Source organism: Homo sapiens, chromosome 17 (assembly GCF_000001405.40).
Source record: "Homo sapiens chromosome 17, GRCh38.p14 Primary Assembly".
Classification (NCBI taxonomy): Eukaryota; Metazoa; Chordata; class Mammalia; order Primates; family Hominidae; genus Homo; species Homo sapiens.
In genome coordinates, this window is record NC_000017.11 from 6,235,518 (window position 1) to 6,262,109 (window position 26,592).

Here is a 26,592-nt window from a genome sequence, read left to right on the forward strand (position 1 = left end):
CTCAAGACTGCTTAATTTTAATTGCTCTGATTACTAGCAAGGCTAAACATTTTCCCAGGTGTTTGTTAACACACTGGATGCCCCTCATGTGAATAGCCTGCTTAAATGTGTTGTGGGGTGGAGGGACGGGGGAGGGATAGCATTAGGAGATATACCTAATGTAAATGGCGAGTTAATGGGTGCAGCACACCAACATGGCACATGTATACATATGTAACAAACCTGCACGTTGTGCACATGTACCCTAGAACTTAAAGTATAATAAAAAAAAGTATTGTCTACTTATCTATTGGGTCATAATACTTTCTCTCTCATACATTTTAATAAACTCTTTAAGTAACATTGCTATCAACTCTTCCTGTATCAAAGTTGGTGCAACTATCTTTTTCCATCTAGCATTTCATTACATTTTTTTTTTGACATATGGGAGTTTTTGTTTTGTTTTTGCTGTCTTCTGTCTGTTTTATCTTTTGTGGTTTCTTCTATTGCTTCAAAGCTGACACTGGTCCTTCTTCGTAGAGGTAATAAATATTCCATTTTCTGCTAACTTTTCTATTTTTAAAAATAAATTCAGCTCTTTCATCCATCTGTAGTCTATTTCAGTGGAAGGGGGAAGCTCTATTAAAATTCTTCCATACTCTCTGGTTTCACAACATCATTTATTTTAAATTATTATTTTATAAAACGTTCTAATGTCTAACAGGTTCGGCTGTGGGATTTACTCTTTTTTCTTAGACTGCCCTTTGAAATCCTCATCCGTTTGTTTTTCCTGAATCAGTTGTGTTCAGAGAAGTACTGTTGAGATTGATTTGGGGTAGGCTATGTTTGTGAATTCACCTAAGGTAGTGAGACATTTTCATAATACCAAATGTGCTCGTCTTGTCTCTCCCCACCCCCACTCTATTAGGATGTGCAACTTTCCTGATAAAGGTCAGGCGGCCGGGCGCGGTGGCTCACGCCTGTAATCCCAGCACTTTGGGAGGCCGAGGTGGGCGGATCACGAGGTCAGGAGATCGAGACCATCCTGGCTAACACGGTGAAACCCCGTCTCTACTAAAAATATAAAAAAATTTGCCAGGCGTGGTGGTGGGCCCCTGTAGTCCCAGATACTCCGGAGGCTGAGGCAGGAGAATGGCATGAACCCAGGAGGTGAAGCTTGCAGTGAGCTGAGATCGCGCCACTGCACTCCAGCCTGGGCCACAGAGCGAGACTCCGTCTCAAAAAAAAAAAAAAGTTCAGGCATATGTTTGTTCCTAAGTATGTTAGATCACTTTTTTGTGTTGTAAATGGTTTTTTTCCATTATATTTTCTAGCTAGTGTGGTGTTCAGGACTATCAATTTTTATGTATGTAGTTTGCATTTGTCCTCTCCCTTAAACTCTTTAATTTGTGAATTTGTACTGATTCTTTTGTATTCACTATCCATACAAATGTTCTCATGTTGTCCCTTTTTTCCCCCAAGTTATTTTATCTTGCCTTACTAAATTGACTGGGATGTCCAAATAAGATTAAATCGCACCACTACCTTAAATCCTTTTAGGAACTTGGTAGGGTTTAAGTTAACTTGGTTTTTGTTTGTTTGTTTGTTTTGAGAGAGTCTCACTCTTGTCACCCAGGCTGGAACGCAGTGGCGCAATTGCAGCTCACTGCAACCTCCATCTCCCGGATTCAAGTGATTCTCCTGCCTCAGCCTCCCAAGTAGCTGGGATTACAGGTGCCCATCACCATGCCTGGCTAATCTTTTTTCTTTTTTTTTGTATTTTTAGTAGAGACGGGGTTTTACCATGTTGGCCAGGCTGATCTCAAGCTCCTGACCGCAGATGATCAATCCACCTCAGCCTTCTAAAGTGCTGGGATTACAGGCGTGAGCCACGGTGCCGAGCCTTAACTTGTTAATGAATTATCAGTGTGATAACAGGCTTTCTTTTTTGTTCCTAATTTTAAAGCTACTGGTGTTTCACCAGTGCAATTTTTGCATTGAAATAGGTATGTTTTATCCTGTTGAAAAATCCTTGAATTCTTAGGTTATAATTTTTTTAATGACTGCATTTTATCGAATTATATTTGGGGTGATTATTAAGATGAGTTTAACATCCTCCATTCTGGCCTTCATTTTTTTCAACAATCCTTTGTGGATTGAATGTGGAATGAATAATGAAATTCTCCCCTAGTGACAGAGCTGGAATTGCAACCCAGGTATTCCAATTCCACCTCCCACCTTACTTGGCAAAATTAACGTTTCAGAAGGTATGTTTCCATTTTCAAAGGCGTGAACATCGCTTATTGCTGGAGGATCCGCAAACACAGGGAGATAAATGATGTGTTTTCGATAGAATTTCCTGTGTTGAACCCTTTTCAGGGCACCCAGGTTTTAATTGGAATTAGCAAAATAGGCCATACCCAAGCTTCTCCAAGAGTGACTATTAAACTTTAAAAACTTACTAAGACTGGAGGGTTCACCCGGGAGGCGGAGCTTGCAGTGAGCCGAGATCGCGCCACTGCACTCCAGCCTGGGCGACAGAGCGAGACTCCGCCTCAAAAAAAAAAAAAAAAAAAAAAAAAAAGACTGGAGGGTTCAATGACAATGATTGAAACCTCACTTTGAAAGGGGAACTAGATGATTTTGACTAATAGTTAACTGAGACCTAAGTACCTGAGCCAAAGTAAAACACTCTTTGGATATTCATTTCCAGATCCTCCCCACAGCCGCCACCGCAAAGCAGCGGAGCTCCTTCCCCGGTCCCTCCGGGCTTGCTGTCCGCTCTCCCTGCCGGCTGATCCATGCATCCTCCTCTGTGTACCCCGCAGCAGTCGGCCCCCGTCGGTGCTTTCTCTCCTGGATGCTTGCTTTCTGGGGCACTGGGGGAGACTTTTATTCTGCTCCAATTAGCCAGAACAGTTACTGCTTCTGTGGGATTCAAGCTGAAAACAGAGCCCACGCTGCACAGCACCGCGCCTCCTCCGGCAAAAGCGATGTTCAGGCGCTCTGCGAGCAGCACCCGTGGGGAGCTCAGTGACCTTCTCGCTCCCATCATCCCTTGGGCCACAGTTTCTAAAGCAGCCCCACAAACACTCACCTGATTTCGGCGTCAGACCTATGAGGCAGGTAGGGAGGGGTTCTTCCTAACATCCTCATCTTACAAATGGAAACGGAGGCACAGGGAGGGTGAGTAAACTGCCTAAAATTCACGCAGCTAGAAAGTGTAAATGCCGATAGAATTCCAAATCTGTGTCTTTTTATTTTTATGAGACAGAGTCTCCCTCTGTTACCCAGGCTGGGGTGCAGTGCTGCAATCTCGGCTCACTGCAACCTCCGCCTTCCGGGTTCAAGCGATTCTCCTGCCTCAGCCTCCTGAGTAGCTGGGATTACAGGCGCACACCACCACGCCCGGCTAATTTTTGTGTTTTTAGCAGAGACAGGGTTTCACCATATTGGTCAGGCTGGTCTCGAACTCCTCACCTCAGGTGATCCACCTGCCTAAACCTCCCAAAGTGCTGAGATTACAGGTGTGAGCCACTGCGCCCTGCCTGAAATCTGAGTCTTTCCTACCACACCACACTGTCTTCATGCAAGATAATCTGTTCTCCTTTCAAGCTTGAAATACAGAATTCAGATGTCTGCAATTGAAGGAGTTAAGTGCGCATTTGTTTAAATAACTTGAAGCTTCCAGGCATGCGGGAATTTGCATGGGCTGCTGCAGGCTGGGTGGGGGACAGGGAATCCCTTGCTGTCCCAGCTTTTTTAATTCTCACAGAGTGGATTGTTCATTCTGATCCTCTTGGTGACCCACATGCTGAGCAGAGCGGTGGGTGGGTGGGCAGAGGGGAGAGGAGAGGGGGCCACCTAGGCTTGCCTTGGCAGAGGGCTTTGGTTCTACGGGTGAAAACTTGGTTTTGGCAGCTTGTTTGCGCTACTCCTAGCGTGCTCAGGGGAAGTCAGGAGGTTTTGTGCATGTTCCAATGCCTGTGGGATGTAAGAAAAAGATTCTGGGTCCAACTCCAGCTCCAGGCACCCAAGGGCAAGCTCTGCCTGGAGGGAAAGTTGGGCTTATCTGCCAGGCCAGGTGAGGAGGGGCTGGAAAGCAGGAAAGAAGCTAGCTGAACTCATTCTGAGTCAAGAGGAAACAGACGTGAGCCACCCTGGAAGGCTGTAAGGGACGCTTTTTTTTTTTTTTTTTTTGAGACAGAATTTCACTCTTGTTGCCCAGGCTGGAGTGCAATGGCAAGATCTCGGCTCACTGCAACCTCCGCCTCCCGGGTTCAAGCGATTCTCCTGCCTCAGCCTCCCGTGTAGCTGGGACTACAGGTGCGTGCCACCACGCCCGGCTAATTTTTTGTATTTTTAGTAGAGATGGGGTTTCACCATATAGGCCAGATGGTCTCGATCTCCTGACCTCGTGATCCGCCCACCTCGGCCTCCCAAAGTGCAGGGATTACAGGCGTGAGCCATCGCTCCTGGCCTCGCGCCTTAGAAAAATCATTCTTTAATCCCACCTTTCCCTCTAGCCACCAGCCCATCTCCCTGCCTCCCCCCTCACCCCAACAATAGAACTTAAAATAGCTGTACCCTGGCAGTCCTCACTCCGTCACCTCCTACTCACCCTCTGACCCACCCTGGTCTGGCTCTGCCCCCACCTCCACTGGAACTGCATCTGTCCTTGACCATGTGTCCACTGTTGCCCACCGCTGACCTCTGCTTTGCTTGGCCAAACTTTTCTCAGACTTCTCTCTTGCCTGTGGGCCTCTAAACTCTGCTCTCCCCCAAGCCTGGGCATGCACAAGAAAGTAGAAATCACCCCGCACCAACCAACCTCTCCTGGGAATTATTGACCAGAGTGGACATTTCCCAGACCCACTGGGCATGAGCTCTTGTGTGTCCAGCTTCCCCTCGGAATATTCTGCCTCTCTCTGCTTGCTCCTGCTTTGCTCAGTGAAAGATACCCTTCTGTTTGATCATGAGGCACTTGCAGATTTCTGAGCTCAGAGTGTCCTCCCTATTGCAACAGTCTTCCTTTCTATTTGGCATCATGATCAGCAAGTCACACCCATATTTTCAAATCCAGTGGCCACTTCGGTGCACACCTAACTCCTCCTCTCAATGGCATTTAGCGCGTTTCTGTCCTACTGAAAACACTTTCCTCCTCACCTGCCATCACCCTGTCCTCTGGCCTTTCTCCTGCCACGTTCGTCTCCTTGCTTTTCCCCTTCCAAAGTTTGACTCTTTGCACCTTGTCCTGGGCCCTCTCTGCTTTCTCTCTGCAGGGGGTCCCATCCCTCCCCATTGTCTTGATGGGCATCTGTATGTTGACGGCCCTCTAAGGACGTTGTCACCCTTCTGAGCTCCCAATTCACGTACCTGAGGTCGGCCTGATGTTTCCACTTGCTTATCTAATGGACACACCCAACCCGAAAGGAACTCTTCACTTGTAACCTTAAACTGGTTATTCTCCAGGATGATGGATTCACACCTGCCTCGGCCATGCACCCCATCACAAAACCAGAAGCCTAGGAGTGCTCCTGTCATCTTGATTTTTCTCTCACATCAGTGATTCCAAAATAAGGACTTAACCTGTGTGCTTCTCTTCTTCTCGCTGTCCCCACCCACCAGAGTCTCCCACCTGGACTGTTACCATTGCCTCCTAACTGACCTTCCTACTTGCATGCCTGTCATCATCTGCCCATTTTCAACATGCCTTCCAGAAGACAAAATCTATACTTATCAGCTGAAGTTTGCATAAAATGCTCCAGTGCCTTCCACTTGCACCCAGGATTCAATCCAAAGCCCCTCCCAGGGCTGCCCAGGCTGTTTCCCCAACCTCCTTAGGGCCATCTCCTCCTGGCTCCTACCCTCCTTGGCCCACTGCTGCCCCCGGATCACACCCAGCTCCTCCCAGGACCTCAGCCCTGGCTGCTCCAGACCTTCCACTTGGTCCCTTGCCTTCTGTCAGTTCCCAAAGGTCATCTTCCCAGAGAGACCCTCCCTGACCCTGGGTAAACTGCGTCTCCCTATGCTGCTCCAGCCAGCACCCTGTTGACTCCCCTCACAATGCTAACAAGCATCTGCATTCCATTTGCATTTGTGGTTGTTTGCTTGTTTGTTCTGTCTCCCCCACTAGACATTCCAGGAAGGTGAGGCCATGCCTTGCCAGTACCTACTTAACATTCAATGAATGAATGAATGAATGAATGAATGAATGAACGAACGAACGAGTGAACTCAGGGTGGTGCTTCACCTGCTGGTTTACACGCCTGTCTCTGCCCACCCACCCTGGTAGAGTCTCTTAAGGGAGGGACCCCCTCTGACTACCTCTGTTCTTAGTGGGCCTGAAGAACAGAGGCCACCGGAGAGTGAAGTCAGGGTATTAATGAGACAGGACAAGCGGCTCCTGCAGCAGGCCTTGTCATGCATGAAGGACAACAGGGCAGGGGTCCTCATCCACAGCTTCAAGCCTCCTGGCCACGTGCAGACCCCTCTCTCAGGAGCTGGGATGGCTGCAGACCACAGCATCTCTCAGCCACCCCTGTGCCTAACGCCCATTGGCAACTGCAGCACAGGGCTTAGCAAGAGGCAGGAGTGCTGCCTTGCCTGGAGAAGCCCCCATTCTGGGCACCTGGGCACTCCAACGGGACATGCAGGCCAGAGGCCAGCTGGCGGGCCTCACTGGCCCTGGGCCACAAGGCCAGCCTTTTATAAAATGTGAGACACAGCTCTGGGCCAGCACTGGAGCCCTTCTGGCTCAGGGGACAAATCCCAGCTGTCACCCTCTGCAGAGCAGTGCCCTGGAACAAGCCTGTTGGGGAATCCCTCGCCTAGACTGCAATGGTAGCAAAACACTAGCACCCACCACATCAGCCAAGGCTCCAGGGTCATCCAAGCTGTGCAATTTAACAGACAGAAGGTGACTTTGATTGAGAACCAGCTGTGTATAGTGCCTGATCCTGTGCTGGGGGTATGGGAGTCCAGAGACAAAATAATAATAACCCCTTCTGCTTTTAAAGGACCAAAGACTCAACCTCTAGGCTATGCTTCCCCTTCACACCAAGTGGAATCGAATGAGCTCAGGATGAACGGGAGAGATGAAGCTGGGATTTGTAGAGGGCTGAAATGGACCGGAGGGTGGGTCATTGTTAAAGCTCTGCCGGGACCTATCAGGCCTCTTTATGCACAGCGCATCCTCCCCAGCTCCTTTCTCTGTGCTTTTTTCTTCAATCACCTGCACCTGTGACTCTTGAGACCCGCTCTCTGGCTACTGAAGCCACAGCCCTGCCCGCATAGGAAGAGACAGTGCCCAAAAATTTCTGGCACTTGTCAGGGCAGCCCATAGCCAATCCCTGGTGCAGGAATAAGAATGCCCAACTGTGGAGCAAGGGCAAACTGTGCGTAATTTATGTGCCAGAGATCCTCACAGGATCAGCCCAAGAAGCCGGGAGTTCACTTGGGATCTGACTCTTGCCCGGCTTCTTCCCTCCCTGTCCCACCTCCCCGACACCCAGTTAATTCTATACTGGACTTTCTTCCTTTCCATTCATTGATTTCACAACTCAGTCCAGGATCAACAATTCAGTCCTCGTGAATGCTCTCCCCAACCCTCCCAACAGGTCCCAGCCTCTCCTGGCCCACCCCACAGGAAAAGGAGAGGATCCACTGCTATGGCTGAGCAATCAGCGGTTGGTAGTAGGGGGAGGTTCCCCACCTGGACTTGGTCCCCTCTGCTGGCAGCCACTGCTGATAGAGTGGCTGTTGTCACTTGTCACCTGCTGCTGCAGCCCAGGCAGGGCACAAGACTGCTCTGAGGAGGAAGAGCCATGATTTCCTCATTGACTCAGACCCTATCTCAGTTCTTACCACCATGTCTGACTCCTCAGTAGGGTAGCCAAGCCTCATGACCACCTCTTGGTGGGGAAGCACTGTGCTGTGTCTCTCTGATCCAGCATCTCCATGCCCCAGGCCATGGGGATGCCAACAAGCCTGTGACTGTTCACTGTCAGAAACCCCAGCTCCTGAAACCCAGGGCTGCAGCAATGTTAGGAAGGAACACTTTCTGCTGCCACTCAAGAATGGGGTGGGCCCATGGGCATTTGTGCTGTCTGCTGAGCCCTTCACTGTCAGCCCTGCTGCCTCCCAGTGCCGTGGCCAAAGAGCGTCGATGAGGTGCTGTTCTTGCAAAGGACCCTTTCAACAATAAACTGGAATATGGCATCTGCACCAGGCCAATGGCTCAGAGTCACAGATTACATTTATTTCTAGAAATAGAGACAATTCCTCTGTTGGACATCTAAGCGTGTGACAACACAAGTAGTACGCATTCCGGAAGAACTTGGGGAATGATCTATTTAATGTCAATTTCCCCTACTGGACCATTAACCTCACAAGGATAGAGACACTGTCAATCCTATTCACCCCTCCATCCCTGTTATAGAGGGCAGGAGACATAGATAGCAGGATAGATATCTCTGTGATAGATAGCAGGAGTTGCCTACATGTTTACTTAATGAGTAAATGGACAACCACTGGAGGAGGGATGGGAGGGGGCTTATGCATCAAACTAGATAGGCTTGAAGGTCCCTCAAGGCTTGAAGGCCACATGATGCTCAGTCAGAGCTGGGCATCCCCTGGAGGGAGAGGCCTTGCAGAAGACACCATCTAACCCACAGAGGTGAGGATCAGGAGCAGTGTAGACATTCTTCTGCCCTATTTTCTCCTTTTTGATTAGCAATGAAAATGTTGACCTTACTGGGCAAAACTCCTCAAGGGTCAGACCCAGAAGAAACTTTGGAGAGTTGATACTCTCACCAATTGTGCTGATGGGAGGACTGAGACCCTGAGACCAAGAGGGCAGAGACTCTTCCAAAGGCAATCAGGGTGTCAGTGACAGAGTCAGGACTAGGTCTCATGTTTCCTGCCCCCAGCCCGGCTGACGCTCCTTCCAGGATTCCATTCTCCCTGGACACATTTGCAGATGAGAGCACAGAGGTGCCAAGGTCAGGTGGGGAAGCTGCAGGCAGAGACGACTCCTGCCTCTCCAGGGGACAGCCTCAGAAGGGTTGAGTTCCAGGCTTCCTTGTCTCCCCCGAGCCCCCATCCCTGCTTTGTTCGTGCCATTAGCCATTCTAATTAATGAGCAAACATTCTTTGCAAAACAATGTTTAAACACCTTAGCATTAATTTAATCAAATATTTAATTGCCCTGTAATTAATCATCTAAGCTTAATGAATTGAGCCTCCATCTCTGGGAGTTGGGTTTGTCCCAATGACTTCTGAAAATAAGTCTGTGATGGGGCCTCTTGGAACCAGACTTCCTGCTCCCATTTGGAGCTGCTGGGTGATGGGGTCCACCCCTTCATAGCCTGTAGGAGGTCTCCTGCTCTCTGTCCCCAGCGAACAGCCTGAGATCAGCTCTCGGGGGCTGAGGAGCCAAAACACTCACTGGGAGAGGCTTGTTGGTTAAGAGTCAGAGCCTGGGGCCAAGTCTCTCCAGAGCGGGGAAGGCTGAATAAGCTGGGCAGCTGCAAGACAGGTCTCACTGTCCTAGCTGTGTGCCCTCGGGCAAATCACACCCCCTCTGCAAGTCTCAGCATCTTCCTCTGTGAAATGCCAGTCTCCCTGGGCTCTGGAGAGATTCAAAAAAGATCTCCAAAGGGGGTAAAGAGGCTTTGTAGACTGTAAAGTTCTATGCACCAGTGAGGAGGTGCTTGAACCCCCCTCTCCACTGTCTTCAGAGTCCTGGAAGCATGGAGCCCAGGAGGCAGTTTGAGAGATGACCCTGCCCAGAAGGCTCAGCCCACTGCCTGTCACAGTGCAGGCTGGCAGTGGCCCACCATCAGCAGAGCATCTGAGGAGCTGAAGGTTGACCCCTTGCCCATGCTGGGGCATGGAAAATCCCAGTCAAGCTGGCAGGAGCCTCAGAGCCCCAGCAATGGGGTCCCTGTGCACCTACTTCTTAGCCCTGCCCTTCCCCTAGGATGCTGGAAGGAAGGCCAGGGCATCCATGAGCTGCTGCAGATGCTTCCCAAGAAACCAGGACAGATGAGGTCCCCCGAGGATAGAGATCTAATAATAGCTAATACTTAGTGAGCACTTCTGATGTGCCAGGCCCTGCCCCAAGACCTTACATGAGGTCGCTCATTAAGTCCATACAATAAGCCCTGTCATTGGGTAGGGTCAGCCTAGATTGTTGTCCTCATTATTACCCACCTATCTTACAAATGAAGAAGTGGAGGATCCGAGGACTAGGCAACGTGCTCAAAGTCTCAGAGCAAGTAAGAGATGAAGCCAGCGTCTGAACTAAAGCAGTCTGGCTGCAGGAGTATGTTGTAAACCCTGTGCATCCCATCTCTTGGAGGAGATGGAGGCTCTGATGGGGCTGGAGCAGGTCAGCCATTGGCTGAAGGGCCACACGCACAGAACAGACAGATGAGCAGCACTCCTCTGACAGGGCCTCTGCCGCCTGCAGTGGGAGGATGAAGCAGCCTCTCCCAGGAGCCTGGTGGAACCACCAGATGCAGTGTCAGCCACCTTAACTCACTCACGAGCTGGCTGAGTTTCCATCTGCCTCTGAGCCAAGGAGAACATCAGAGGGCAGATTTTTTTTTTTTTTTTTGATGGAGTCTTGCTCTGTCACCCAGGCTGGAGTTCAGTGGTGTGATCTCAGCTCACTGCAACCTCTGCCTCTTGGGTTCAAGCGATGCTCCTGCCTCAGCCTCCTGAGTAGCTGGGACTACAGGCGCCCGCCACTACGCCTGGCTAATTTTTGTGTTTTTAGTAGAGACGGGGTTTCACCATGTTGGCCAGGCTGGTCTCAAACTCCTGACCTCATGATCCGCCTGCCTCAGCCTCCCAACATGCTGGGATTACGGGCGTGAGCCACCGCACTCACCCCAGAGGGCAGATTCTTAACTTCCCACTGTTGCCTTCTTCTGACCTAGACTTTGTCTTCTTCTGAAGGCACCTAGACTTTCTGGAGTGGCATCTGTTAGAAGGAAATTAGCCCATAGACAGACACAACCTCTGACCTAACATCTGAGCCTTCAGCTACACTCCAAGCAGAGGATTGATTAACTCCAGCCTGACTTAGGAGCTGCCAGGGCGCATGCTTCCCCTGGAGTTATTTATGCCACCCCATTAGCTCAGGAAAGGCAGGATTCATAGAGCCATCGTGGCCTAGGAACTCAGCAAGATTAATATAACTGGGACTGAAATACACATGAGGCCAGTGCCACCTCCATTTAATTAGGAATGAAGGGAAGGAAGGGGAGTGCCAGGGTCTGGGTTAGAGGGGACAGACCTCCTATCACATGGGTCCCGCATTTATTCCGTGCTCTCCATCCACACGGCCCGTCCCCCCATCTAGTTCACATTATCTCAGTAAGTCCTTGCCTCAGCTCCTTTCCCTGGGCTCCCAGCCTCTGGGCTCACCCAACCCTGACACCCTCTATGAAGTTTCAGGACTTGGGGCAGAGCAACAGAGGCTCATTGAGCCAATGGATGAATGCAGAGATGGAGCCACCCTTTCCTTTTTCAACAGCTCTTTGAAAACTCCTTTCTAATAAATGCCTTCACAGCAGAGCAATACGAGCCTGGTGGTGTGCTCCAACTTTGCCAGATCTCTGCATCAGCTCAGGGCACGGGATATGAGCTGCTTGTGCTGCTCCTTTCCAAGTCAAAGGTTTGCATTAGTTTGCTGGGGCTTCTGCGTCAAAGCACCACAGCGCATGGCTTAAACAACATGCATTTATCTCACAGTTCTGGAGGCTAGAAGTCTCCAGTCTAGGTGTCATCTGGGTTGGTCCCGTCTGAGGGCTATGAAGGATGGGTCTGTTCCAGGCCTCTCTCCTTAACATGTAGGTAGACACCAGTCATACCAGATTAGGGCTCACCCTAATAATCTCATTTTAACTTGATAACATTTATAAAGACCCTATCTCCAAATAAAGTCACATTCTGAGGTACTAGTGGTTAGGGTTCCAACACATATACATATATAAACACACACACACACGCACATACACACACACACATACATATATACACACACATATACATATATGTACACACACACATATACATACACATACACATACACATATATATTTGTGGCACAATAGGCTTTAAATTCCATTCTGGTTGTGTTCCTTGTCTGCATAGCTCCTTCCAGAAGCACTCGGGCAGGAGGGGTGGGTGTCAGGGCAGGATCAAGCTTCCTGTTCCCCAGCCGTAATGCATCAAAAATGGCACCACAGCCTCAACTCCCCTCCAGACAAGCCAGGAACAAGGAGCTTTGGATGCAGGAACTTTCAGCCAACTGACCTTCTGATTCTCCATGGCAAGTGTCACCTCGCACCAGCCTCCCCCTCTTTCGACCAAAAGGCTGGACTCTAAATCCTCTAGACTTTTTATTCCCACGCTGGAATTCACGAACTCATTCATTTGTTCACTTATTCAACAACGCTTTACTGAGCAAGCGCTCCATAACAGGTCCAGTGTGCTACCCCAGGACACAACAGTGAACAAGGTGTAGCCTCTGCCTTCAAGGGGCTCCCAGCCTTGCTGTGGACGCAAACAGGAAAATGGACAATTCCGACATGATAAGGCCTAAGACAGGGGGAAGCAGAAGGTGATGCTTTCAGATGCTCCAGACCAGACCCTGGAAAAACCCTAATCTTTAAACCAGGGATAAGCAAACTATGGCCTGCCTGTCTGTCTTCGTTTACAAAGACAGCCTACTTCCCGTCTTTGTAAATAAAGTTTTATTGACACAGAGCCACACCCACCCATCATTTACATTTTGACTATGGCTTCTTTTTGCATGACAAGGACAAAGATGAGTATTTGTGACAGAGATTGCATAGCCTGCAAACCTAAATTATTTACTGTCTGACCTGTTACAGAAAAGGTGTGCCTGCCCTTGATGTAAACCATGAGAACTGCAAAGCTGTAGTTGCCTCCAAGGATTTTATGTCGTGATCGTGACCAAAGATGCCCAGGGGACCATCCAGTGGGGAGATGTGAAGTATGTCCTGGCCGGGTTCTGGTCTGGTTTTTGTTGCTGGGTGAGTTTTGGTAAGCAGCTTTTTCTCTCTGAGCCTCAGTTTCCCTATCTGAAAGGGGAAACAAGTGGAGTAAGTGATTTTATAATTCCCATCAGCTGGGAGCCACTGGGTTTGGGTTTAAGCAGTTCTTTATCCTGTCGGAGGCTCTGTGACCCTACAAAAGCTCTGTGACCCCCGCAGGTGAGCTTTGTGGTCTCAGAGAGGCCTTGTGATTACTCTAGCGAGCCCAGAGAAGGAGGCCATGAGAATTATTAGGGCAACCGAGGCCCGGGCATGCCAAATTATTTCCCCTGGTGATGCCCTTTTGCACAGAATTTAGCACTGGAAATGAAGACCATATGTGCCCAGCAACAAAACATCCCAATGAAAAATGGAAAACGAAGGCGCTGCTTTGTCTATTAAATGCCAAACATCCAGGACTTTCCGCATAAGCAGATGCTGATCACCACCCTGTAGGAGAGCGGCTCATAGAGTAGAAAGCGTGCAGGTCTGAGTTCGGGCGCGGTGACTCATGCCTGTCATCCCAGCACTTTGGGAGGCTGAGGCAGGTGGATCACTTGAGGTTAGGAGTTCGAGACCAGCCTGGCCAACATGGTGAAATCACATCTCTCCTAAAAATACAAAAATTAGCCGTGTGTTATGGTGCGTGCCTGTAGTGCCAGCTACTTGGGAGGCTGAAGCAGGAGAATCACTTGAACCCGGGAGGCGGAGGTTGCAGTGAGATGAGATCAAGCCACTGCACTCCAGCCTGGGCGACAGAGTGAGGCGCTGTTGAAAGAAAGAAAGGAAGAAAGAAAGAAAGAAAGAGAGAAAGAGAAAGAGAAAGAAAGAAAGAGCGAGCAGGAGTGAGACTCAGGAGACTGTTCTTCCAGAAGGCTCTGCCACGAGTAGCCAGAGGTCACCTCAGTCAAGTCATCACCCTCTTTGTATCACAGTGTTCTCACCTTCAATGAGGATGATGATAATCTCCACTTGGGGGCATTGGGAAGACTAAATGAGATGATGGGTAAAAACATAGTCTGCAACATGTAGAACATTCCCTAAAATATTATTACTAGCTTGTCTTCACGTTTGCACAGAAATTCATCATTTGTACAGTTTTCACACAGACCAACTCATTTGACAAGAAAGCAGAACCCAGAGAATTTTAATGACTTACCCCAGGACACACAGATAATAAATGGTCGAGTTGGGACTCAAATCCAGAGCTTCTGATCCCACTTTCAAAGCTCTTTCCCCCTCAGCATGCTGCTCTTTCCTCTTGTTAATCTTGTTCACATGTCCCCATTGTCCCTCAGTGACTTGTTACAGCTGGTGCTCATTAAATGTGTGCAGATGGAGAAATCAGTTATAGTTTTTAGTTCTTCCTGCTGCTCCCTGTGGAGAGGTCATCCTCCCTCTGCCTCCCTCCCCAGAGCCATCGCATCCTGAATTCCACCTTTCGGGCCCTTTGGCCTTCTGAACTTCCCTTGTCATCCACCGTGAGGCCTTCCACTGTAGCTTCCTGGCAAGAATGAGCACTGCCTGAACTGGGAGGTGGCAAGGCAAGGGGCGAATCACAGAGATTATGTTCCTGGGAGGCTGCACTGCCCCATACACACAGGTGGCAAACATTTAAAGGAAGACTTTAACTATATGGTGAAGGAGCCCTATAGTTATGGTTGTGAGAAGCAATATTTTTCCTCCTGGTCCTCGCTAGGCTTCCTCCTCTTCCTTTTTTTTCTATTTTTATTTATTTTATTTTATTTTATTTTTGGCTGGAGTGCAGTTGCATGATCTCAGCTCACTGTAACCTCCACCTCCCAGGTTCAAGTGATCTTCCTGCCTCAGCCTCCTGAGTAGCTGGGGCTACAGGTGCGCGCCACCATGCCCAGCTTATTTTTGTATTTTTAGTAGAGATGGGTTTTCACCATGTTGGAAAGGATGGTCTCGATCTCTTGACCTTGTGATCCACCTGCCTCGGCCTCCCAAAGTGTTGGGATCATTGGCATGAGCCACCGCGCCTGGCCCCTCCTCTTCCTTTCTAGCCCTGGGCTCCAAACTTTTGCCCTCACAGATGCTCCTTCTAGACTGGCCAAGTGTAGGTATTTCCCGGGGTGGAAGGGAGGGGGCAGAAAGAAGAGTAACGGGACCACCCGGACGCCATGGACAGAGAACCCACGGAGCCGGTGGTATCCATGATGTGGAGTCCAGGGACGCCCTGGGCAAAGCAAGCCCTGAGGAATGAAGCTGCTCTCCCTGTGTGGGGCTCCTGCAGCGGGTAGAGCATCACTGGGAGGTGCAAATGCTCAGAAATAGAAGAAAACTGTGGGGCCTCGGAGCAAGAGCTCCCTTGTTCTTTCTGCCAGTCTTTTTGTCCCTGAGCTCTAGAGATTCAGAGACGAGTAAGACCACGTCTCAAAATCGAGTGGGAAGGCAGAGACGAAAGCTAAACTTATCATTTACAAGGTAGAGAAATAAAGAACCACATCATGGCCAGATGAGAACAAAGCCTGAGGGAGAATAAAACCACTTTGGGCATGCGAAGCCTTGGAAACAGGAGCTCCTGGGCACCCTCTCCAAACAAGTTACTTCAAGACATATGTCGGTAAAATGAGGAAAACATCAAAAAAATAAAAAGAAAGAAAGAAAGAAAAAGAAATAAAGAAAGAAAGAGAAAGAAAGAAAGAGGAAGATATAGAATAAACAAACTGGTATAAAAAATCCAGGGGTCAAATGAGAAAAAAATACTTCAGACTTGTGTACCATATCTAGACAGCAGTCAGTTTGTAGAGCCAGAACCTATGAGTTCCAAGGGGGAAAAAAAATAAATCAAGGAGAGAGAAGGCATTCTAAGCAATGTTTGTAACATAAACAACAAAGAATTTTGACATCTGTAATAAGCAAAGAACTCCCATACATCAATAAGGAAAAGAGAACTAGGCAGGGGTTATAAAAGGCAATCTCACCAGGCGCAGTGGCTCACGCCTGTAATCCCAACACTTTGGGAGGTTGAGGTGGGTGGATCACCTGAGGTTAGGAGTTCGAGACCAGCCTGGCCAACATGGTGAAACCCCATCTCTACTAAAAATACAAAAATTAGCCAGGTGTGGTGGCAGGTGCCTGTAATCCCAGCTACTCGAGAGGCTGAGGAGGGAGAATCGCTTTTTTCTCTACCTTTATTTCTTTATTTCTACCAGGAGGCAGAAGCTTCAGTGAGCCAAGATTGCATCACTGCATTCCAGCCTGGGCAACAGAGTGAGACAGCATCTCAAAAAATAATAATAATAATTGTAATTGCCATGAGACTACAGAAAAAGTTAACATGTATAAAAATTACATAACTAAAGACAACCTGAGGCTGGGCACAGTGACTCATGCCTGTAATCCAAGCACTTTGGGAGGCCGAGGCGGGTGGATCACCTGAGGCCAGGAATTTGAGACCAGCCTGGCCAACATGGTGAAACCTCGTTTCTACTAAAAATACAAAAAATTAGCTGGGCGTGGTGGCACACGTCTGTAATCCCAGCTACTTGGGAGGCTGATGCAGAGGAATCGCTTGAACCCGGGAGGCGGAGATTGCAGTGAGCAGAGGTCGTGCCACTGCACTCCAGCCTGGGTGACAGAGTAAGACTCCGTCTAAAAAAAAAAAGAAACAGGCCGGGCGCTGTGGCTCACGGCTGTAATCCCAGCACTTTGAGGGGCCGAGGCGGGTGGATCACGAGATCAGGAGATCGAGACCATCCTGGCTAACACGGTGAAACCCCGTCTCTACTAAAAATACAAAAAATTAGCCGGGCGAGGTGGTGGGCGCCTGTAGTCCCAGCTACTCGGGAGGCTGAGGCAGGAGAATGGTGTGAACCCCGGCGGGTGGAGCCTGAAGTGAGCCAAGATTGCACCACTGCACTCCAGCCTGGGCGACAGCGAGACTCCGTCTCAAAAAAAAAAAAAAAAGAAAAGAAACAGAAATAAAAGAAAAAGAAATCTACCCGCAGCACAGGGAACTACAAATGGTCAATGGCACAGGACACATTGTTCAATCTCTTTAGTAAGCAGAGAGATACACCCTAAAGCAATGACAAGGGTCCACTACCCACCTATTAGTTTTCAAATGTTGTAACATAAAGTGCTGGTCAGGGCGTGGAGAGACGGCCACTTCTCTCCTCACTTGCGGTGGGAGTATATACATGGGTACAGGCTTTTTGAAGGACAATCTGTCAGTATCTGATGAAAGTTTAAACAGCTTGGCTCTGTTTAAAGGGAGAGAGGAGGACAAGGATTGTTCCCCTCACCTTCCAATCTCCTGCCTGTGCCCAACTTTGGTGGACACCAGTTGCAATGGAGCCGGGAAACCCAGTGGACCAGGCTCGGCCTCCCTGGCAGCCTTCCCTGCCAGGAAGAAGGGAGCAAGGGCAGGGAACAGATGTGACAATAAACCCACACAGGACCAGCTCAGCTGTGTTCCTTTGTTTGTGGTTTTTACACACACCATTCATGTTACCTGTAGAGCGTAGTCTGGTGTGTGATTAGACCACAGTTGGTGGGGATGTAAATTAGTTCGGCCTCTGTTGAAAGCAGTTTGGAGATGTCTCAAGTAACTTAAAACAGAACTACCATTTGACCCAGCAATCCCATGACTGGGTGTATATCCAAAAGAAAATAAATCATTCTACCAAAAAGACACGTGCACTCGTATGTTCATTGCAATGCTATTCACAATAGCAAAGACATGGAATCAATCCAGGTGCCCAACCACAGTGGGTTAAACTTTGAAAATGTAGTGCATATCCACCATGGAATACTACACAGCCATAAAAAAGAATAAAATCATGTCCTTTGGAGCAACGTGGATGCAGCTGGAGGCCATTATCCTAAGCCAGTTAATGCAGAAACAGAGAGCCAAATACTGCCCATTCTCACTATTAGTAGGAGCTAAACATTTGGTACCCGCAGACACAAAGATGGGAACAATAAATGCTGGGGTAGGTAGGGAGGAGGACAAGGGTTGAAAAACTATCAGACACTATGTTCGTTACTTGGGTGATGGGATCCTTGGAAGCCCAAACCTCAGCATCACACAATATACCCATGTAACAAGCCTACACATGTACACCCTGAATCTAAATATTTTTGAAATTAAAAAAAAATAGACCACAGCCTATGTATCCATTTTCCTGTTTCTGAACACCGAGACTCACCTCTAGCTTTGTGGAATTTCAAAGTGTTTTACAAAATATGACTGTACACCATTCCCTGTGTACACAAATACAATGCTCTCTAGGACAGATGGCGTAGACACGGGATTGCTGGGTTGAGGAGATGGAAAGGTAAGGCAAAGGAAGTGCCATGGTATTGCGTTCATGCTGTCTGCCTTGGACAGAATCTGTAGAAATGGCTGATTCCCTTTGTCTGTGGCTCCACTTTCTATCAGACATCCCCTTCCACAGGCTCTGCTCCCACCAGGTGACCCTGGCTCCTGGGCTCCAGTCACACCGGCTCCTTCCTTTGTCCACAGCTCTGGGGTGGAGCGGCTCTCTCCCTTCTCTGGGCCATCTCGCCTTCCCTGTCGCCCTTTCAGCTCCTTGCACACCTTGGTAGCTTGCTCCCTGTATTAGCGTTTTCCTGTTAATATCCATCTGGCATGGATTTTGTTTTCCTGGATGAACACTGACTCATACATAGGCCACAGTCAGGAGTTTGGAGGGCAACCAAGTGCCAAGAATTTTATGCAGAAGAGTGTCATGATTTAGTATCTGACCTAAACCCATGATGTTGGCCATGGTGTGGAGGTTAAATTGAACAAAAGCATGGAATTCTGTGAGGAGGTTGATCTAGCAGAGGCTTGCACAAGGGTAATAGCAGGGAACAGAGACAAACAGAGGGCTTTGCAGTATTTTACAGTGATAGATGTGGGGGTGAGAGGAGGACACGAGTAAGGAATGAAGCCCAGATTTCTGGGTAGTGGCGCTGCCATTTACTGAGGTAGGAAAGGAAGGGTTTTGTTTTGTTTTGTTTTGTTTTGTTGTACATGGAGTGCTGAGAATATATGAGTTTTTCTTTACTAAACACCTTCTCTCTCTCTTTTTTTTTAGACAGAGTTTCCGCTCTTGTTGCCCAGGCTGGAGGGCAATGGCACAATCTCAGCTTATTGCAACCTCCACCTCCTGGGTTCAAGAGATTCTCCTGCTTCAGCCTCCCAAGTAGCTGAGATTACAGGCACCTGCCACCACGGCCAGCTACTTTTTGTATTTTATTAGAGACGGGGCTTCACCATATTGGTCAGGCTGGTCTCGAACTCCTGACCTCAGGTGATCCTTCTTCGTGTAGGTGCCCTCCTGTCTTATCTCCTACAGCTTCTGGGGCTGCAGGGGGACATAAATACCACATGTGCAGGCACCTTTGTAAACTATGCAGCAGTTTCCTTAAAAAACAAAACAAAACAAGAAACACAGTGACCACAGAGGGGAGCTGGGAAGGAGAGTGAGGGGCAAGGGCATTTCTGGGGCCCGTCTCTCCTCTCTGTGGCTCCAAGGGCAAGATTCCCATCACTAGCTAATGCAAATAACTGCATGACAGCACGGAACACCACCAGCTGCCCCGTGGCGTGCCTACTAGGTATCAGGCCCTATGCTGGGTATTTTATACACATTCTCTCTGATCCTCTGAAGTGGGAGCCAGCAATCTTAATTTGATTTTCAGAGTCAGAACTGGTGGAAATTCACTTTGGTTTCTCGTATGGCTGGATCTCGTATTTCTAAAGGCCCATGCCGGGTGGACTATTACATCATGTTGACAATATAAATTAGACTGATTAGAGGCTGACAATATCATTAGGAATGACATACTATTTAGTAGCTGGCATTATTGTCTGTAACATTTATACATGACAAAGTGCTTTCTATCTCTGCCCAGTGACACTTTGACACCAACCCAAATCATAGAAAATGCTGTGGTGTGAGCCATAGGCCAATTATTAACTGTCCCTGGGAGGTCCCTCAGCCCTTCCAGCCCTGCTGACAAATTGGTCTTTGGTGAAATTAAGAAGTCTTGGGAGAAGCTTATTTTTCTATTCTTGGGAACCCAGGGATCTCCCCAGCTCCCAGCTCCCAGGTAGAGAAGCCATCACTGTACATGGGAAAAAAATAAAAAAGAACACTCAGCACTAAAAGCCTAGGTTCTATCTCTGATTACCTTCATGCCATTAGTAAGTCATTTATTCTCTCTAAGCTTGTTTCCTCATCTAAAAAAAGAGAAACAAAAATACTTAACCTATCTCTACTATGGAAGTTTTCTGCAGATAGAATGAGCCAGTGGATATGAACAGACTTTGTGTCAGTCAACCTTTGCTGTATAACAAACAACCACAAAAAAATCCCAGAGTCAATAAGCATGTATTTACTTCACGTATCTGGGGGTTGGTGAAGACTTGTCTGATCTAGGCTAGACTGGCTGAGTGGCTTTGCTTTAGGCTATGGGTTTGGTTAGAATGGGTTCCTTGCCATACATTGGGCTCTGGTGTGTTCCTTGTATGTTTATCCTGGAGCCTGGGATACAGGGGAAGCATCTGCTGGTGAGAAGCTCTTCTCGTGGCGATGGCAGAGGTGCAAGCGGGTGAGCCCAGCTGCACAAGCACATTTCACGTCCTTGTTTGCGTCATGTATGTTAATCTTCCAAAGTAGGTCACATAGCCAAGCCCCAAGCCAAGGAGTAAGCAAAAAAACTCCCATGTATGTGGAGAAGAGGGAGGGAACGTTTTTAAACAATAATACCACCTCCTTGTTCCATACATACATAAGAAAGGACTGTTGCTTATCATTATTTTTTCAACACCAGTAAGGACAGAGATGTCAAATATCCCGTTTTTCATCTATTGTTTTGGCCTCACAGCAACTGGTCTGGCTGTAGTTAATCAATCCAACTGACCATCAATCCACTGGACAAATTGACTTTTCGGTTGTGTCCAATGAAGTTGATTTCCACAGGTGCATTGGGCCCCCTGAGTCCTCTCTGTGCTACGTGATGGGTTAGAAAGTAGCCAACTTTGGCCGGGCACGGTGGCTCACCCCTGTAATCCCCGCACTTTGGGAGGCCGAGGTGGGCGGATCAAGAGGTTAGGGAGCAGCCTGACCAACGTGGTGAAACCCCATCTCTACTAAAAATACAAAAATTAGCTTGGCGTGGTGACACGTGCCTGTAATCCCAGCTACTCAGGAGGCTGAGGCAGGAGAATCGCTGGAACCCAGGAGGCGGAGGTTGTAGTGAGCTGAGATCGCACCACTGCACTCTAGCCTGGGCGACAAAGCAAGACTCTGTCTCAAAAAAAAAAAAAAAAAGGAAAGAAAGAAAGTAGCTAACTTTAGCTACCTACCTCTTTGCCAAAGGTAGGGTACTCCAGGGAGCTTCCTTTCTTATTCCTGATTTCTCCCAGTTCAACGTCCTCAGGCTAGAAGCTACATACATAATAACCACCGACATGTATGCAGACCTTTACTGATAGCCAAGTGCTTTTATAGATGTAATCCATTTTGCATCCCTAAGATAGCCCCTCATCATGCCCATTTCACAGATAAGAACCCCCTGGGTCACATCAATAGGGAGTGGGAGACCCAGGATTTGAACCTCTCCTGCCTGATTCTGGGGCTTGGGATCGCCCCTCCCCCAGTCCAAAGAGGGGTTTCCTGCCCTCCAAGTCTTGATCTCCTCCTGCCTGACTTCACAGCACTCCCCAATGTAATGTCAGCTCCGTGTGACGGCCTATCTACCACATCCACAATGGTTTAATTTCTGCCGTTTATGTGAAAAGAAATTACTCACTAAAATTTAATTTGGTAAATTTCAGTCTTTGTAAGCAGTGAATTCAATGACGACACAGTTCAGCAAGTCAGCAGTTACTCAGGCAATTTCCGAGCCACCAGCCCCCAACCCTAATAACAAAGAAGGCCCAGCCTCTCAGCCTGTTTTAAATTCACATTCCTTCATTATTATGTCAAGGGAAGTCATTATGGGACTGAAGAAAATGCTTCCTGTCTAGAAAAGTAAAACGCAGTCTTGTGCGGCGGATTAGCGTGTTCTGTCGGGTATTAAATGGGGAACTCTCGAGGAGCATGATTTCTGAATTACGTGGTTTGATGATTATTTAACCACGTTGGCTGGTGATAACTATTTATCTAGTCCAGAGCAACGCAGTTCAATAGGCCTGTCCTTACGTCCCCCTTGGAGGCTGCTGCCAGGAACCTGGCTCCCAGAATTTTCTGGGGAAGGGCAGTGAGGGGGTGGGGAGGTGACGGGAGATGAAGGCAAGTTTCTCAGGTTGGCACTGATGCCTGGAATCTGCACATATTTGCCTACTTTGACTGGACGCTGGTAGATTTCCTGCAACTGATACGCGTGTGTGTGTGTGTGTGTGTGTGTGTGTGTGTGTAAAAGACAGAGAGAGACAGAGAGAGAGATTGAGAGATTCAAGCTAGGCATGTTAATCAGGTTGTTTAAGCCAATGGGGCTATGGGCTTTCAAGGCAGGAACAATATTCTGTTTACCTTTGCACCTCCAGTGCCGAGCACAGTGCCTGACACTTATGTATAACCATGATTTTGAGGCTGATTGTCAAAAACACGAGTTAGGTTGCAGACTCCAATGATGGTAGATGCAGCTGGCCCCCAGGATGGGAGCTTCACCTTGACTTCTGTCTGTTAAATTTACTGCTGCATCCTCAGCTCCAAGGCCAGTGCCTGGCAAAGAGATAGTGCTCAGTAAATACTTGCTGCATTTTGTCTGAATTTGCATCGAGGTGTGGAAGGTAAGAAGAGTTGCTAGGACGAAAGAAACCGGGGCATCTTTTGGGAAAGGGGCCAGGATAGAGGAGCAGATGGGGGCTGAAATACAGGGTGGAAAAGTTGTTTTGTCTGAAGAAGAGCAGGCTCGGGGTCAGGACCATGCCTTTCCACCTCTGAATGCCACCCTGGAGCAGGACTGGCCCCATCCTGGGTGGCCTGCAGGGAGAGGAGGCTGTTGCTGGTAGGCACATTTTGAGGTGGGGGGAAAGGAAAAAGTTTGTAAGAGAGCTGTCCAGAGAAGGCATGACTTTCCCTTAAGAGTTAGCGAGTCTCCAGGTGTCAGGAGAGGCTTGACTTTGGGAGAATGTTGGAGTGGAAAGTGTAACAGAGGGATGTCTGGTCTTTTGGCTTCCCTGGGTCACACTGTAAGAAGAATCATTTTGGGCTGCACATGTCGTATATTAACACTGACGATAGCTGATGAGCTAAAAAAAATCACACAAAAAAGAAATCACAAAAAAAATCTCATAATGGGCCTGATGCAGTGGCTCATGCCTGTAATCTCAGCACTTTGGGAGGCCAAGGTGGGCGGATCACGAGGTCAGGAGTTTGAGACCAGCCTGGCCAACATGATGAAACGGCATCTCTGTATTTTGTAAAAATACAAAAAATTAGCTGGGCATGGTGGCGGGCGCCTGTAATCCCAGCTACTTGGGAGGCTGAGGCAGGAGAATCGCTTGAACCCGGGAGGCGGAGGTTGCAGTGAGCTGAGATCACAGCACTGCACTCCAGCCTGGGCAACAGTGTGAGACTCTGTCTCAAAAAAAAAAAAATCTCATGATGTTTTAAGAGACTTAACAAATGTGTGTTGGGTCACATTCAAAGCCATCTGGACTGCAGGCCTCAGGTTGGGCAAGCTTAATATAGCATAAGATAGAAGGTAGAAGTAGGGGACCTTTGAGGTCCCATGAGTGTCTGCAACTTATAGTCCATATTTGATTGATTTGCTTCTGCTGAATCAGAGAAAGATGAATCTATTCCCCTGGATTAAGGAGGGATGTTGAATTGGACCTTGAAGACACTGAGATGGAGGTAACTGTGGTCAGAAGAGTTGCTATGGATGGGACCATGTGTGAATAATCCCATGTTGTATGGCTTGGTAGAGTAACATGTGCCATAGGCACACGACAGATGAGGGAGAGGAGATCAGAGCTACTGCAGTCTGAAGACCCCTGGAGAAGGGCAGGAGGCCAGAGAAATCAGGGAGACCTCCCTGAAAGAGGTCAGGTGGACATATTGGAGTGCTCAGGAAGCCCTGGGGAGGTGAGACTGAAGGAATTGTGAGTAACTAGCCAAAGTTGTGGAATGAGGGATCCGGCTCTTACTAGCAGAGAGTGGTTAAAGACAGACCAGGGACCAGGCACGGTGGCTCACACCTATATTCCCAGCACTTTGGGAGGCCGAGGCAGGTGGATCATGAGGTCAGGAGTTCGAGACTAGCTTGGCCAAGATGGCAAAACGCCGTCTCTACTAAAAATACAAAAATTATCTGGGCGTGGTGGCAGGTGCCTGTAATCCCAGCTACTCAGGAGGCTGAGGCAGGAGAATTGCTTGAACCCGGGAGGCGGAGGTTGCAGTGAGCCGAGATCACGCCGCTGCACTCCAGCCTGGGTGACATAGCAAGACTCCATCTCAAAAAAAAAAAACAGGAGACAATGAAGCCGCAGGTGAGCCAGGTAGTTACAAAAGAATGCGATCTCTCAGCAAGGGGAAGACCCAAGGCTGGGGAGAAAGTAGCACCTGGCTGGCTTCTTGAGGAAGCGTTGCCAGCAAGGAGCTCTCACATCTTAGCAGCGACCAAGGTAGTAGGCCATGAACTGTAATAGAGGCAGAGGGTTTGTTAAGATTTTAGAAGCAGACAGTCCTGGTTTGAAGTCCTGACTCGACTATGTTCCGAATGTGTGATCTTGGACAAATGGCTTAACCTCTGAGCCTTAGTTTCCTCATCTGTAAAATAAGTCTTAAAAAAAATCTCTCCAACCCTCCAAGAGCTGGTGTGAAGATTAGATGGGGTCATGGATGTCAGCATGATATGTAAACTCTGAAGTGCCCTGTGCTTATGGAGGTGGCCACTAATGGCATAGTATGGCAGAATCTCTGAATTAGAGAGTGACGGGAACTGCCTGGGGCTCCGAGTCAGGTCTTGAACTTACCATCAAGCTGGAGAAAACTTCCTTCTTCAATTTAGGGGTTGAACTGATAGGCCTGGCAGTGGTCCCACCTTTGAGCGGCTGTCCTGGAAACAAATACATGCGAGGATGTCGGCTCTTCTTCCATTCTGCAAGTCAGTGTCAGGTCAGTGTTGGGAAGTGGTGACCTGCAGCTGTCCACCTCCAGCTGCCTGCAGAAGGCAGACTGATCAGAAAGTTCTTCCGTGGCATTAGAATGGAGAGACTTAGGCATGCTAAATGCTGAAGGGAAGAACCATGGAGAGGAGGGGGTGGTGACTTGCAGCTGGCTGACAACCCCTCCCTGATGGACGCCATGAAGCCGGTGTGTCCATGACTCCCGTGACCTTGTTCCCAGCCTCCCTTACCACGTCACAGTGAAGTCATTTTTCAAAGCTAACACTTGTAGAGGCTCCTCCAGGAGGCAGTTGCTGATGACTTTGAATTCAACGTGTGGATTTGGATCTTCAGCCCTGACCCCTTCTCTAAACCCCAATTCGATATATCTAACCTGCCTACTTGATATCATCATGTAGATAAGGGTCTCAAAGTATGACCCAAACAGGGTTCCCAGAAACCTGCTTCCCCAAATTTGTTCCTCTTTGAGTCCTCTCCTGCCACTGCCGTCCACCCAACTCTTCAGGCCAAGACCCCCCCCATGTCATCCGTGACTGCTCTCCTTCCTTTATCCCTCCATCGACCCCAGAAGGCCCTGCCAGCCCTTCCAAATATATCCCCAGTCTGCCTTCTTTTCTCCAGGTCCCATGTTGCCACTCTGTCCATACCAACATCCTCTCTCAGCTGGTGATGCAGCAGCCTCTTACTGAGCAACCTGCTTCCTCTCTTGGCTTTTCAAATCCATTCCCTGCAAAGTAGCCAGAAGGATCTTTTCAAAACATAAGTCATGTTCATCTTCTTAAAGCCCTTATTCTCAAGGCACATAAAATAAAAACAAAACTGAGTGGAAGCCACACTGCATGGGGGTCGAGGTGTGAATAGGATTTTAGGACAGGACAATGAAGAATCTAGAAACGCTTGCAAGAGACATGGCTGGGAAAGGAAAGACAGGGAGAGAGAGTCAGAGCTGCAAGCAGCAGACTGATCAGAAAGTGCTTCCGTGGTGTTAGAATGGAGAGGCTTAGGCATGCTAGACGCTGAAGGGAAGGACAGTGGAGGGGAGGGGTGGTGATTCGCTTGGTAACAGACGACTCCTGTTTTTGGGAGGAGAGACTTGAAGCTAATTCATATTGTTCACAGTGGCATTTCTTCCCCCAGATAAGCTTGTTTTTGTCAGTTCTCTTTAAACAATAAATAAAATAAAGGTGGGAATTGAACAATGAGAACACTTGGACACAGGGTGGGGAACATCACACACCGGGGCCTGTTGTGGGGTGGGGGGAGGGGGGAGGGGGGAGGGATAGCATTAGGAGATATTTCTAATGTAAATGACAAGTTAGTGGGTGCAGCACACCAACATGGCACATGTATACATATGTAACAAACCTGCACGTTGTGCACATGTACCCTAGAACGTAAAGTATCATAATAAAAAAAAGAAAATAA

General features: G+C 48.5%; 1 long non-coding RNA gene across 1 annotated transcript, besides 2 other annotated features; it reads left to right on the plus strand.

The window, feature by feature from the left end:
* Positions 2,408-2,925: an enhancer, noted in NCBI's record as "H3K27ac-H3K4me1 hESC enhancer chr17:6141245-6141762 (GRCh37/hg19 assembly coordinates)". NCBI's record gives its function as "activates a minimal SCP1, AML or CMV promoter by ChIP-STARR-seq in naive H9 embryonic stem cells {active_cell/tissue: H9 hESC(naive)}" and the evidence as "EXISTENCE:reporter gene assay evidence [ECO:0000049][PMID:30033119]".
* LOC124903904 (uncharacterized) lies at positions 3,045-6,069 on the plus strand. The gene is made up of 2 exons (XR_007065593.1): positions 3,045-3,165; positions 5,262-6,069. It is a non-coding gene; the product is annotated as an uncharacterized LOC124903904 (long non-coding RNA).
* Positions 24,412-24,706: a silencer, noted in NCBI's record as "tiled region #9220; HepG2 Repressive non-DNase unmatched - State 22:ReprW". NCBI's record gives its function as "represses a minimal TATA promoter and a strong SV40 promoter by Sharpr-MPRA in HepG2 cells {active_cell/tissue: HepG2}" and the evidence as "EXISTENCE:reporter gene assay evidence [ECO:0000049][PMID:27701403]".